Genomic DNA, 13,650 nt, shown 5'->3' with positions numbered 1-13,650 from the left:
GGTGACATGCCTGTAATCCCAGCTACTCAGGAGGCTGAGGCAGGAGAATCACTTGAACCTGGGAGGCGGAGGTTGCAGTGAGCCCAGATCACGCCACTACACTCCATCCTGGGTGACAGAGTGAGACTCTCTCTGAAAAAGTGTGTGCGTGTGTGTGTGTGTGTGTGTGTGAGAGAGAGAGAGAGAGAGAGAGAGAGAGACAGAGACATTGATAGGTTTAACAACATTTAACAAATTCTTAATAGGGTGAAATACAGTATTTCTCTGTTGATAAATTAAGGCCAAATTATTTCAGAATTGGTCAGAGCATGGCTTGGCTCCATGACGGAGGGCCACAATTTGAAAGTTGCCTAGTTCCACAGAAGAGGCAGCATGAGCCTGATAGGAGAGGATGGCAAAGCTCCCAGTCCTAGAGGGAGATCGGAGAATAAATCGAATGTCCCTTTAAACCTCACCATAAATTCAAGCTAGGCTCCTACTTGGATGAATAGCATAGTTGCTGATAGCACAGGCTCTGGAGTGAGATTGCCTGGGATCATAATCCCAGCCCACCCACTAAATGTGCAACCTTAGGCAAGACACCTGACCTCTTGCAGGTCAGTATCTTCATCTATAGAACAAAGATAATGATGGAACTACCACATTGAGATATTGTGGGGATTTAATAAATTTACAAATGCGAAGTGTGTAGAGTGGAACCTGGTGATAGGATAAGTGTAATGTAAAATTTGCTATTATTATTCAAGTGTACATATTTTTAATTCCGCCTTTAGAACTGCAGAACCTCAGTCCCATCCTAACCCTCAAAATCCTCTCTAGTTGTTTCCAAAAGTACCCAGGAGTTTCTCATTTTATGCTCAGGAACAAGTAAATGCCTATCCTTCCAGAAAGGGCATTCCAAGCAAAGGAATGATGCAGAATTGTAACCAAGCAAAGAGATTCTGGGGAGCTCCAGTTCTCCATCAAGCAGCTGGAGTAGTTTGATCACTAGTATTCCCCAACTTAAACAGTGGACTGATCACCATGTTCTTAAAGCCCTGGGAAGCCTAGCTTCTGCCTCTCTAACCAGCCTGATATTTTCTCAATTTGTCAGATAAACCATCTTGCTTCACCACGGTTGTTCCCTCTGACCAGAACACTCCCGGCCCACCCCTTCCCCTGGTTCACTCCTACTCATCCTTCAGAGGTCAGCTCGAATATCACTTCTTTAAGATTTCCTGACCTCCTAGGGTATTTCAAATCCCCCTAACCATATGCTATCTTAGTACCCTATAATTATCCTCATCACACTGTCATTCTAGTTGACTGCATATGTGCTAAGTTATTTAATATATTAATATTTCTTCCCAACTGAAATGTCATCTTCATGAGAGAAGAGACCGTGTCTGCTGTTTCTTATTGCATCCCCAGCAGCAAACACAGTAGCTTGCACATAGTCAGTATTCAATATTTAATAAGTGAACCAAAGGCAGCTTAGTAAAGCAGAAGTGGAAAATGTGCATGAAGAAGCGGTAGAAGAAAACACTGGAAAATTAAGCCAGACAGATGATAGAAGCTATGTGTGCCAGGTTAAGAAATTTGAACTTTAATTTGAAGACAGTGCTGGTCAGTAAAGGTCTTAAGCTAGGCTAATGACCTTGTTTTAGGAATGTGAAATGCTGATCTGGCCGGTGAAATTGGAGGTGAGGAACACTTCAAAGGCTGTTGTAAAAAACCAGGTGAGAGGTGTTAGACAACAGAGGGTGAGGTAGAGGGAGATAGCCAGGAGCCTTAGGTGGATCACGATCTGAGAGAGGTGAACTAGAGTCAAGAATCCAGAAAGAAAGAGACTCACCCCATCTGGAGGGCCTGTAAGGAAGGAGGAAAAAGGATGTGTCAGATGTGAGGGAAGGGTTTGTTGTTACTGCTTGTTATTTGTAATAAATAAGATGTATTGAGCCTTTGTGTGCCACACACTGTGAGTAATGGCCTCAGTTTCTTCTCATCAGAGGTCACCTGCCAAGCCTGAGGGATGTGGAGTGGTATAGGGACCATGAAGAGAACGCTTAGGTTTAGAACAGACACTGTAGAGAATGGAAGAAGGAGCTGGCAAGATGCTGGGAGAGCGTGATTGGTGCCACCCTAGTGTGCAGAGGCCTGTGGTTTTCTCCAGTGGGACTGAGCAGCCTGGGCACAGGAATGAAAAGGGTGGATATTTAAATCAAAATAGAATTAGGGCAGTGGGTGGCAAACTACAGCCTCTGGGCCAAATCTGGCTCACTGCCTGTTTGGTAAATAAAGTTTTATTAGAATACAACCATGCTAATTTGCTGTTTTTGTGCTGCAACAGGCAGAGTTGAATAATTGCCACAGAGACTATATGTCCCACAAAGCCCAAAATATTTGCTATCTGGTCCTTTACAAAAATGGTTTGCTGACCCCCGGATTACAAGTTAGCAGGTAAGGCAGAATACATGGCAGCAAGGGAGTGGTAAGAAAGTGGTTGAAGGGGTGGAGAATGGGGATCTAGACTGGTTAAGAAAGGAAGCAAAGCCAGGCAGGCGTTGATAGAGTGGGAGAAAATAAGAGGATTTTCGTTGCATCTGTTCTCTCAGTGAGGCCAAAGTATCAATATGTTAAAAAGAATGGGAGAGCTGGAAGTAAGCGAGAAGAAAAGTAATTTTGGAAAACAGGTTTCAGAGGAGGGCAGTACTGAGTGATGACATGTTCTAGGGACTACTCAGAGGAATGGCTGAAGGTCATTGCGGTGAGGAATTCAAGAAACAGTGAGGCCAGGATGGATGGCTAGTCTCCATGGACATTGGCGTCACTCAGGGTGATGGAGAATAGATAAGATAGTGTCTGTGTTCCAGTTTTGTTTTAAGAAGTATTTGTTTATATGAAGGGTCCAGGTCTGGCATTATAACCTTTTCGGAGATAACAAGTTAGGAAAATTAAAAAATTCTTGTATGCTCATATTTTAGTGGATCTCAACTATCAGGAAAGTGAAGGCAGCCACCTAATACACCTTAATATTTGTACCAAACGAGAGGGATGTATTTGCTGCTGCAACCTCATTTGATCTTGATTCTAAATAACTCTGTTCTTGGAACAGCTCATTTCTTCCCCTCAGTTTAAATTTTAAGTTATTTATCTGTAGCTCAAACTATTCTTTCAAGTTATTAGATACTTGATCATGTACACAAGAAAAGGAGGAGGAAGCTAGTAGATTCTTGGAAGCTAGAAATGGTGGCAGTCAGCCTTCAGTATATTCTCATAAGCCACATTTATAGTAAGTATGTTCAGCTACACTGTTCTTGGCTTTCTAATTCTTTTGGAGGAAAAAATTCAGTATTCTACACTTTCTCATATTGGATAGTGGTAGGCATTGTCACTGCCTTCATCCTTTTTTCCTATCCAATTGGCTTTGTTTTTTTACCATGGTCTTCACTAGTACTTGTTCTAGATACCTGTTTTTCAGTCCACCTTTGAAAGTGAAAGAAATCAAACTTGACACACACACACAAGACCCATTAACCATGCACTTTTCCTTTTTGTCTGTAAAAGGCTTCAGAGCCAGAAACTGAGGAAAATGGTAGAAAACAGTTCTGCAAAGTGTCTTGGCAAAGCCTGAGTTACTGGTCAGGCTGGCTTAGAAGCACCGTGCAGAGTAGAGTTGAAGGCAGCCTTCATCATCCCTCCAGGGAGGAAGCCCCAGCAACTCTTGTAGTATACATCTCCTGCCTGCTGTTTCACAGGCAAAAAACCACACCTATTTAATTTTCAAAGCTTATACTTTATAGGTAAGTGAGAAAACTCATCTTTAATCCAATTTTCCCAATTAAAATTTAGCATAAGTGATTAAGAGTTTTCCTAAATCTATTATTTTATGTAGCATATTTATAATGACATTAAATTTCCAAATGTTACACTTTTTAAAAATTGAAATCTAATTAATGTACCATAAAATGCATCCTTTTAAAATGTATGATTTAGTAGCTTTTAGTGTATTCTCAGTTGTGAAATCATCACCACTAATTCAGAAACACTTTCATCACTGGCTAGAAGTCCTACACTCATTAGCAGTCACTCCCCATTCTTCTTTCCCTCTAATTCCCATCAACCACAGATCTTGTTGTCTCTATGTATTTGCCTATTCTAAACATTTCATATAAATGGAATCATGCAATATGTGGCCTTTTGTGTCTGACTTATTTCACTTAGCCTAGTATTTTCAAGATTCATCCATGTTGTAACATATATCAGTACTTCATTGCTTTTTATGGCTAATTCCATTGTAACAAGATATATATAGATACAGATAGATAGAAAAATAGAATATAGTATATAGTATACCAAAAAGTATATAGTATATAGTATACCAAAAAGTATATCTATTTCTCTCTCTCTTCTATAGAGATCTGTCTATCTTCTATAGAGAGAGAGAGAGAGAGAAATAAAGCTTTCTCTCTTCTATAGAGATAGAGAAATAGATATGCTTTTGGCTATTACAAATAATTCTGCCACAAACATTTGTGTAAAATGTTAAATTTTTCTTTTTTAAGGCTCATGTATTATACACTCTACAAAAGAACAGAGTATAAATGTAGTAAAGGACAAAGGAAACAAAAATGACAGACATACACATTTACATAGCAAGTATGGACAAAACTTGTCAAGATTCTTTAAATACTTCTACTTTTAACATTTAACAGTCAAAATCAGTTTCTACAAATAATTTATTGTCTCAGCAAGAAGTTTTAGAAGACTCAACCTATGTGATTCAAACTATGACTGTCTTAATGAAAAAAATTTAATTTTATCCTCTTTGAAAATCTCCAAATTGCTGGAAGCCAAGTAAACCAGATCAATACCAATTTTTAAAAGATTCAAAGGCTTTTAAGCCTATGACTTCTCAGGAAGTCATAATTGCTTAGAAAAATTATTCAAAGTATGTGTTCAGCTTTTAATTATATTAACATGCAAGAAAAAAACATCTGTACATCTAATTATCATCAGTAGCCAGTTGATTGCTGGATCTTCCAAAACCAGAGACAAGTCTTCTTAAGAATCAAGGCTTTTCAGACCTCTCCACTAATACATTGCAGTATGCAGACTTTGTTTAACTTCGTTTAACAGAAGAGAAGATCCTTTGAAGTGTAGTGGAAGACAGGCTGACATATTTCTGTGGTCTCTCCTTCTAAGTGTAGACACAGCTTTTGTTGCTGATACCTTGGTCAACAGCCTTTGTGCTTATCAGTTCTTCCTTAGTTCACTGTCCTTCTGACTGAGAAATGTGATGTCCAAATGTTGAAGTTTCTGGACAAGAAAATGGAGAAGGCTCCTAAGATCTATTTTCTTTCTCAAATGAATCATCTTTTTGAAATGCAAATTTCTGCTTAAGTGCATGAGACGTTAAAGACATCGGATCCCAATATGAATTTTTTATTTTCCTCTTATGAATGGATCTGCCACCAGGTGACTGTTCAATTGCACAGAGCTTCACTTTATTTATGTCCTCTAGAACATCCAACATGTTTAGAACATCTTTATTTCTGTGGCTTTTTGGATGATGACTATACTAGCACCTGGGTGCTGTTTGTTCATTTCAGTAGCTGGATTATCTGAGTCACAAATATTATTAGATCCTAGTTGTATGGGAAGAAAACATGGAAGCTAGAGAGAAGAAAACTGAGGAGGAAGTGGTAGTGGAGGAGGAGAAGAAAGCATTGAACTTGGAAACTGATTTTTATTATGTTAAGGCTTATTATACACTCTACAAAGGAACAGAGTATAAATGTAGTAAAGAACAAATATATATGTGTGACTCCCCACTCAGCTGAACAGCCCGTGATGATGGCATTTGTCCCAAACTAATGGGCCCATCATTCAAGCCAAAGGAACTAGAATTTGTACTGTTTTTCAGTTCCTGCATTTCCAAAATTGCAGGAATCTGAGAGTGAAGAAAAGTTAGCTCATCTTCAAGGGCACCTATTTTTTTTTTAATTGCAGCTTCATTTACAAGCAGATCATTTTTCACTGGTTTGTTGTGTTTTAGAGCAGATGACACTGGATCCCAAACTAGTTGCAAAGGATGGACACATTGCATTTTCTCTTCATTTTTCCATATACTATTTTGAAATCTGAGAAAACTGGCTTCCTCGACATTTGCCACACACAAAATATCAGCAAAAGACAAAACAACAGATTCAGAATTATCAGAGTCTACAGAGTTCAAGAACTGGATCAACTCAAAATTGTGCCTTCAACAAGGTTCTAACAGAAGCATTTTCTCATTAATATGAACAGTATTCCTAGTTGATCCATAGTCTTTATTTTCCCAAATCAGCAAAACCTGATCTATAGGAACACCAGAATATTCACTATGAGAGACACTGATGAAGCAAATACAGAAGCCAATTCAAGGAAGCATTGTCAGTTTCCTGGTACCTTTCTCTAAAAGCTGGCCTTCCGGCAACTACCAGAATGGCAAATGGAGGACATTATGAATCCTGTCTCGGAATCCTCCATTGAAGAGGCACTGATCCTGGTCCAGGAGTACGCAGACATCAACCTGGTGTCTGCTCGCACACCTTAGCTTGCAGGCCACAGGCAGTAACGATGACCTCACTGAGGGGTGTGAGATCAACCCAGTGCCCAGCCCTGGAACCCTTCGCTCAGCCAGGGTAACTCCCTAGGCGGCATGGTTGCCTCCTCCTGTTCCCAGCTAACCTATCACCGGTCCCGAGGACAGGACCCCTCAGTGTTACATTTTAAACCATGGGACAAAATCAGAATATTTTAATTTGTATATAGTTAACTTGACAGACATTGTATATCAGCTAGGAAAACTGAAAGAGGTGAATTGGAGAATGACAAAAACTTCTCTGTTTTACAGTGAACTATTTAAAGTGTTTAGTTGACCAAAGACCTTCTGCCTACAGAAAGATTTATATCTCTAGCTCATAAGAGTTTTTAATTATTTCTAGAAATTTCTCAGTTTATTTTTGCAGCACAGTTCTAAATGCTTTTAAAATGGAAAGTTTTAATATCACGATTAACTGGTCCAATATTATTTATGAGTATAATAAGTTAAAGTTAACACATCAGCATTTGGAATAATTTCATCAGGGCTATCTTCAAGCAAGCCCAACATTAATTGGTGTGCAAATATCACACAATGAGATTTTAAAATACAGCGATTTATTGTAGCTTATTTCGGTTCTGCTGAGTAGACTGTGTGAATGTTAACAAGAGACCCAAATAACTTCTGTAGTGAGCCTGGGCAGGAGAACTAAATGGGCAGTGAGGATGCACCCTGGAGAGCAGCTTGAAGTATGTGTACAGCTGTGGAGTGTTTGGAAACAAAAGTAAATTGGTATGCGGCAATTATAGATGAAGTGGCTTTTTATAAGCAAAAGCATCATGTAGCCTATGACTCAAAGCTGCAAAACTGTAAACAATGATAAGCGATTTCGTCAGCAGTTGTAGTCATAAGGCAAAAGAAAGGTGGCTAAATAGTAGAAAGCAGTGGGTCCCAGACTTTAGCATACCTCAGAAACACCTGGCAGCTTGTTACAACTTAGTTTTCTGGGCCCAACCCCCAAGTTTCTGATTTAGTAGATCTGGGACCCAAGAAATTCATTACTGACAAATTCCCAGGTGATGCTACTGCAGTCACATTTTGAGAACCACTGGCATCAATTTAAATACCAGGTTTTTTAGTCACAGCATATATATGTGACTAACCTAACTGCGTATCTTTAAATATATATGATAACATGGGGGCCAGGCTCAGTGGCTCACACCTGTAATCCCAGCACTTTGGGAGGCCTAGGCAGGCAGATCACGAGGTCAGGAGATTGAGACCATCCTGGTTAACACAGTGAAACCCCGTCTCTACTAAAAACACAAAAAAAAAATAGCCGGGCGTGGTGACGGGCACCTGCAATTCCAGCTACTCGTCAGGTGGAGGCAGAAGAATGGTGTGAACCTGGAGGCAGAGCTTGCAGTGAGCCAAGATCGCGCCACTGCACTCCAGCCTGGGCAACAGAGCGAGACTCCGTCTCAAAAAAAAAAAAGAAAAGAAAATGATATTAATATTTGACTCAAATATTATTTCCGTCTTGGCCTACTTAAAATGTTTCTTATTAAGTTATTCTTTCTGACTAGAAGGAACCCAAATTCTATTTCTAGAGTCTTTTCTTAGTACTTTAACAGATATGTTTTGAGTCCTAGAATCTTTTTTTTTTTTTTTTTGGAGACAGGGTCTCACCCTTTTGCCCAGGTTGGAGCGCCCTGGCATGACCACGGCTCACTGCAGCCTCAAACTCCCAGGCTCAGGTGGTCCTCCCACTTTAGTCTCCCAAGTAGGTGGGACCACAGGTACACACCACCATGCCCAACTAATTTTTGTACTTCTTGTAGAGAAGGGGTTTCGCCATGTTGCTCAGGCTGTTCTCAAATTCCTGGGCCCAAGCTATCCTCCCACCTCGACCTCCCAAAGGGCTGGGATTACAGGTGTGAGCCACCATGCCCAGCCGGGTCCTAGAATCTCATCAAGAATAGATAAGTTCTGTAAAGTGATGCACCGATCTTGCCTCAAATATCCCTACCAAATGGTTATTCAGGCTGTGCATGAGCTCTGAGCATCACTCACCATTATTATTTTCGTGTGTGAAGAACCATGACAATGAGAAAGTTTTTTTTTTAATGAAGTGGGCTAAAATCTGTTTTCTGTAAGTTCTACCTGTTGATCCCAGTTCTAGCTCCTGCAAACTAAGAGTAATGGAAGGTATTATTATTAAGGTTTTCTGATTGTCTTCAAATAATTAGATATAGCCTCTCATCCTTCTACCATCTCTTTTCGGGTAAAGATTAGCATATCCATCAACCATTTATTATAGATAAGATGTCAAGTCCCCTCACTGTCCTGGTTACCTGCCTTCTAAATTTTATACTCAAAATTTAACATAATTCTATAATACAGTAAAAATAATTCTAATGTAATAGAATTGTGTAGAAGTATAGAATTGTGATTAAGATCATATTCTATGACATCAGAGAAACTTGAATTTGAATCCCATCTTTCCCCTTTTCTAGCCTTGTGGTCTTGGGAAAGATTTTTAGCCTCTTTCAGATTCCCTTGCCTCATATTTGAAACGGGGTTATAAAACCTACTCCATCTGGTGCTAAACAAAGAGAATTTAAAAACAACTATTTGAGGGGGCACAGTGGCTCACAGAGGTAATCCCAGCTTCGGGAGGCTGAGGAGTGAGGATCACTTGAGGCCAGGAGTTTGAGACCAGCCTTGCCAATGTAGCAAGAGCCCTTCTCTACAAAAAATTCAAGAAAAGAGCCAGGCATTGGTGGCCCACACCTGTAGTCTCAGCTACTAGGAAGGCTGAGGCGGGAGGATCGCTTGAGCCCAGGTTGAGGCTGCAGTGAGTCATGACTGCACCACTGCACTCCAGTCTGGGTGACAGAGCAAGGTCCTGTTTCTAAAAAAAAGAAAAAACAAAACAAAACAGGCATTTGAAAAGTGGTTAAGTCCTTAGACAGGTGAACAATTAACCATGAATACCCACCTACCTCTGCAACCCATGGCAGAGTCTGAAGATTTGTTTTCTGGAGAGGGCAGATGAAAGGTCTCTGAAATGAGGGATGCTAGGTAGAGTTACAAGTGTGGGCACTGTCACCAAAACCACAGGATTATGTGATGATATGTAAACCACATGCTGAATGCTGCAGCCCCCTCCCCCTGCTGGCCTCCCAGCACCCTGGTAGCTAGACCTTTACCCTCTAGGTAGGAGATAGGATAACTTTTCTCCTAGAACCTAACTGGCCTAGAGGAAAGAACTAAAGATACTGATATTAGTGGTTCCCCAACAAATGACTATTCACTGAAGCTCAAAGTTGACAAGTGCCATACACACACTCAACGTTCCTTTCAACTTTTAATCCTCCACACTTAAACATAAGCGGGCAGCAAGGGGTACCAACATCTGAAAAAAGAAAACTTCTAATATAAAACATTGAAACAAAAACAAAGAAAAATAATTTTGAGGAAACATACACTATGAAGGGAAAGGAAAAGTTTTTCAAAGAAGCTTATTATCCTCAAAGAAATAAGAGAATACAGTATGTGAAACAAGAACAAGACATTACAAAAAGAATTTCTGAAAACCAAAAAAAAGAGCTCTTGGAAATTTAAAAATATAATAGCAGAAATATAAGCAATCAATGAGAGGATTGGAAGCTAAAGTTGATAAAATCTACATTGAAGTAAAGCAGAAAGATGGAGGCGGGGAAAATGGGAAAGAAAAGTAAGAAAATTAGAAGACTAGTCCAAGAGATCTAACATCTGACAAGAGGAGGTTTTGAAAGAGACAACAGAGAAAACACAGAGGAGAAAATAAGTGATTAAATCATTTAGAATAATTTTCTGGGGCTGAAGGAAATAGGTCACATGATTGAGTTGACCTCAGTGAGTGAAAATAGTCTCACTTCAGGGTACATCACTGAGAAGTTTCCAAACCCTCTGAAACAAAGAGGAAATTCTGTAATGCTTCAGAGATAAAACAGGTTACATGCAATGAATAAGAATTCGAATGGCTCCAACCCCTGCACAGCAATACTAGAAACAAGAAGACAGTGAAATGTGGCCTTCAAAATTCTGAAAGAAGGATTTCTGACCTAGAATTCTTTAACCAAACGATCATTAAGCCTAAAAGCAGAGTACAGACATTTTCAGACATGCAGGTTCTCAAAACTTTTACTTCTCATGGCTATCGTCATTAACATGCCCACTACCATCTTTCCACCTTTTTAATCCAAAGATAGTCTGTCTCGATTAGCCTGACCTAGATTCCTAACTGTTCTTGGCTTTTCTTGACCATGTGCTGATGAAGTTCCTGCTTTCCTTTTCATGTCCCTGCTGCTGCATCGGCTGAGAATATATTTCATCCCCAAAAAAGTTTTGTGATTGGAATTTTTCCTGAGAAGTGGAGATAGGCCATGGAAAGCTTTGAAGCAAAAAATAGAAGCTGCCTGCCCTGGCCATAGTTTTTACAGGAGGTCCAATTTAGTTTAGAAGGGACATGAATATGTAAAGCAAAATAAAATAATGTAGAAAAATAAGCCATGTGTTCTCATTAGTAAGCATCAATTTCCCTCTTCTGTGACTTACAATGGAATTTTTTTTTAAGTAGTAAGTTCAGAGTTCGTTGCAAAGAGTTTAGAACTGGATTCCACCAATTTGTATCACATATCATAAGTGAATGTAAATAGATATTCCAGGAAGAAGAGAAAAAAGTTCCATGTTTAAGAAAGCTTGGAAGACACTTGAATAAATTACCGAAGATTTCTCAGAACTTTAAATGCACTGATGGACACTGTTAATCTCCTTTTGGGAGGCACAGTATGCAACTGCCCAGGTGTATTGACTATGAAGCCTGTTTTTACAAAACATCTTCTAACATCTGAAGGAACACAGTGTTTCTCAGAAAAGTTTGGGAAATGATTTAGAATAAAGTGTGGGAGATTTAATATGATTTTGCCAGAAAGGAAGTAAAAACTTTCCCAAATATGTAATTTTATGGAAAAAAAGGCTTAGAATGCTTTTTACTTCACTTAGTTTCTTGGTGAGAAAAAAAATGATTATATACGTGTGCTAAAGTATTCTAGATTTCAGATGTGTTGGACTTCAGTCTTGATTATATTTCACTATAGACAGAAAAATATTTATTTCACTAACTTTTGGGTACTTGTAGTTGGTAGTTCATTTTGCCATAATAATCTCTACAGGAAAAAAAATTAAAAAGTTGAAGGAATCTGTTACAGGTTTCTCACTTTCTACTTTAAATACCAACTTAAAATGCTGGCAGTCAGTAGAATGGGGTTTAATACTTTTCTACTCTCTCTGATTAAGTTTAGTGTAAAAATATGTTGGGCAGGGTTTGAGTCAAGATGAGTCAAGATGAATATTGATAATTCTATTTTAGTTTCATTTCCATGGTATTATTGATATATAATACATCTGTAGATTTTCTTAGTTTCCTGCTTTGGGTTTTTTTAAGCTTATTATGAATAGTTAACATTTAAAATTCTAAGCAGTTTATTTATGTTGAGCCCTTCCAGATAGGCTTTTACATTATAAAATTATTTTAGCTATTACTCTCATTTGTATGTTGCATAAATCTTTTTTCTCTCATTTACACATTTTAGTTTCAACTGCTTCTGAGGGAGCATCTTCCTTTTCTCCTTTATCCATGTCATCTCCTGATTTAGCCTCTCCAGAGAAGTCAGCTCATCTCTTATCACCAATTCTGGCCGGACCTTCCTTCTGGACTCTGTCCCATCAACAGTTGTCTTCTACCTCCTTTAAAGATGAAGATAAGACAGCCAAGCTGCATCACTCCTTTGCTTCTAGGGGCCCAGTGTCTTCTGATGTAGAGGAAAATGATAGCCTCAATCTACTGGGAATTCTTCCAAATAACTCTGATTCTGCTAAAAAGAATATAAGTCACATTTCTAGTAGTCACTGGGGGGAGTTTTCCACCCAAAATGTAGACCAGTTCATCCCTCTGTCCTGTTCTGGTTTTCAGTCAACCAAAGACTTCCCCCAGGAACCTGAAGCAAAGAATTCCATTAGTGTTCTTTTAAGGGAGGTAAAACGTGCGATCGCTAGATTACATGAAGATCTGAGCACAGTGATCCAAGAACTTAATGTCATCAATAACATCTTGATGAGCATGAGTCTGAATAGTTCACAAATAAGCCAGTCTTCCCAGGTCCCCCAGTCTTCTGAGGGGAGCTCAGATCAGATCTAATCATCACAATATCTATTTTTGATAGAACTCGTGTGGTTCCACTTCCCCAAGACTTACGTTAGCATTGTATAAATTCATATTATTATGGCAAAAAAGGGGATGGTTTAATTTTTCCTTGTCAGGTTTATTAGCAAGTATCTTTCAAACTAATACTTTCATTTGGGTGGTTTATTTTTTAAAAGGGAAAGATGTCACCTTTGATAATTTCAGATTTAGATATTAGTTCATTTGAAACAGAAGAGAATTTCATTCTTTCATGCTCTGTACCTCAAATGGGTTAAGCATTAGTGAAAATTGTGGTAAGACCTCAAACTGCAAATGACTATTCAAGAGCTTTTGGATAAGGAGGCAGGAAGAAGCTCTTTATCTTTCAACTGTATGGAGCTTGTTAACAAGCCTCTGAGGTGACCTAGGAGGATTGAGTTTGGGGGTATACATTTCACACATTCTTTTGCAAGTTTTAGGTTCTGCAACCAAGGGCCAGAAATCTTTTCTTTCTTCCAGATGCTAGTGTTAGGAGTTAAATGGAAACAAGAAGGACATGGGGCAAATGTTTTTACTGTCAATGTATATTGCAAGGTGAATTCAAATGCATCCTTTTATTCTACTTCAGAAAATAAATTTGATATTTTTCATCTTCTGTGTATCTTTTTAATTCATTAAGACAGCCTTTCAAATAGAAATGTCTGTTATTTATGGGCAAAACAGTCCGGTTTGGGGATTACAGGCCAGTGATTCCCAACCCTGCTGCACACTGGAATCACCACAGAAGCTTTTCTTTTGTTTTATATTTGTCTGAGAGAATCGTGTAATGGGCTCCATGTGCCCATCACTCAGTTTC

General features: G+C 38.9%; 1 protein-coding gene and 1 pseudogene across 6 annotated transcripts in view; one reads left to right on the top strand and one right to left on the bottom strand.

Annotated features, from left to right (window-relative positions):
* ENTHD1 (ENTH domain containing 1) overlaps nucleotides 1-13,444 on the top strand; it is a 150,717-nt gene extending 137,273 nt beyond the window's left edge. For 5 of the 6 annotated variants that reach the window (XM_006724150.4, XM_011529928.3, NM_152512.4 and 2 more), the window contains one exon: nucleotides 12,205-13,444. In XM_006724150.4, coding sequence (XP_006724213.1) covers nucleotides 12,205-12,809 — 605 coding nt within the window. In that variant the 3' untranslated portion in view covers nucleotides 12,810-13,444. The remainder of the gene's footprint in view (nucleotides 1-12,204) is intronic. The other variant, XM_011529927.3, reaches the window with a different exon arrangement.
* On the bottom strand, nucleotides 4,462-6,769 carry MTFR2P2 (MTFR2 pseudogene 2; annotated as a pseudogene).
* Nucleotides 13,445-13,650: the final 206 nt, after the last annotated feature.

Source organism: Homo sapiens, chromosome 22 (assembly GCF_000001405.40).
Source record: "Homo sapiens chromosome 22, GRCh38.p14 Primary Assembly".
Taxonomy (NCBI): Eukaryota; Metazoa; Chordata; class Mammalia; order Primates; family Hominidae; genus Homo; species Homo sapiens.
This window is presented reverse-complemented; position numbering and strand designations above follow the sequence as displayed.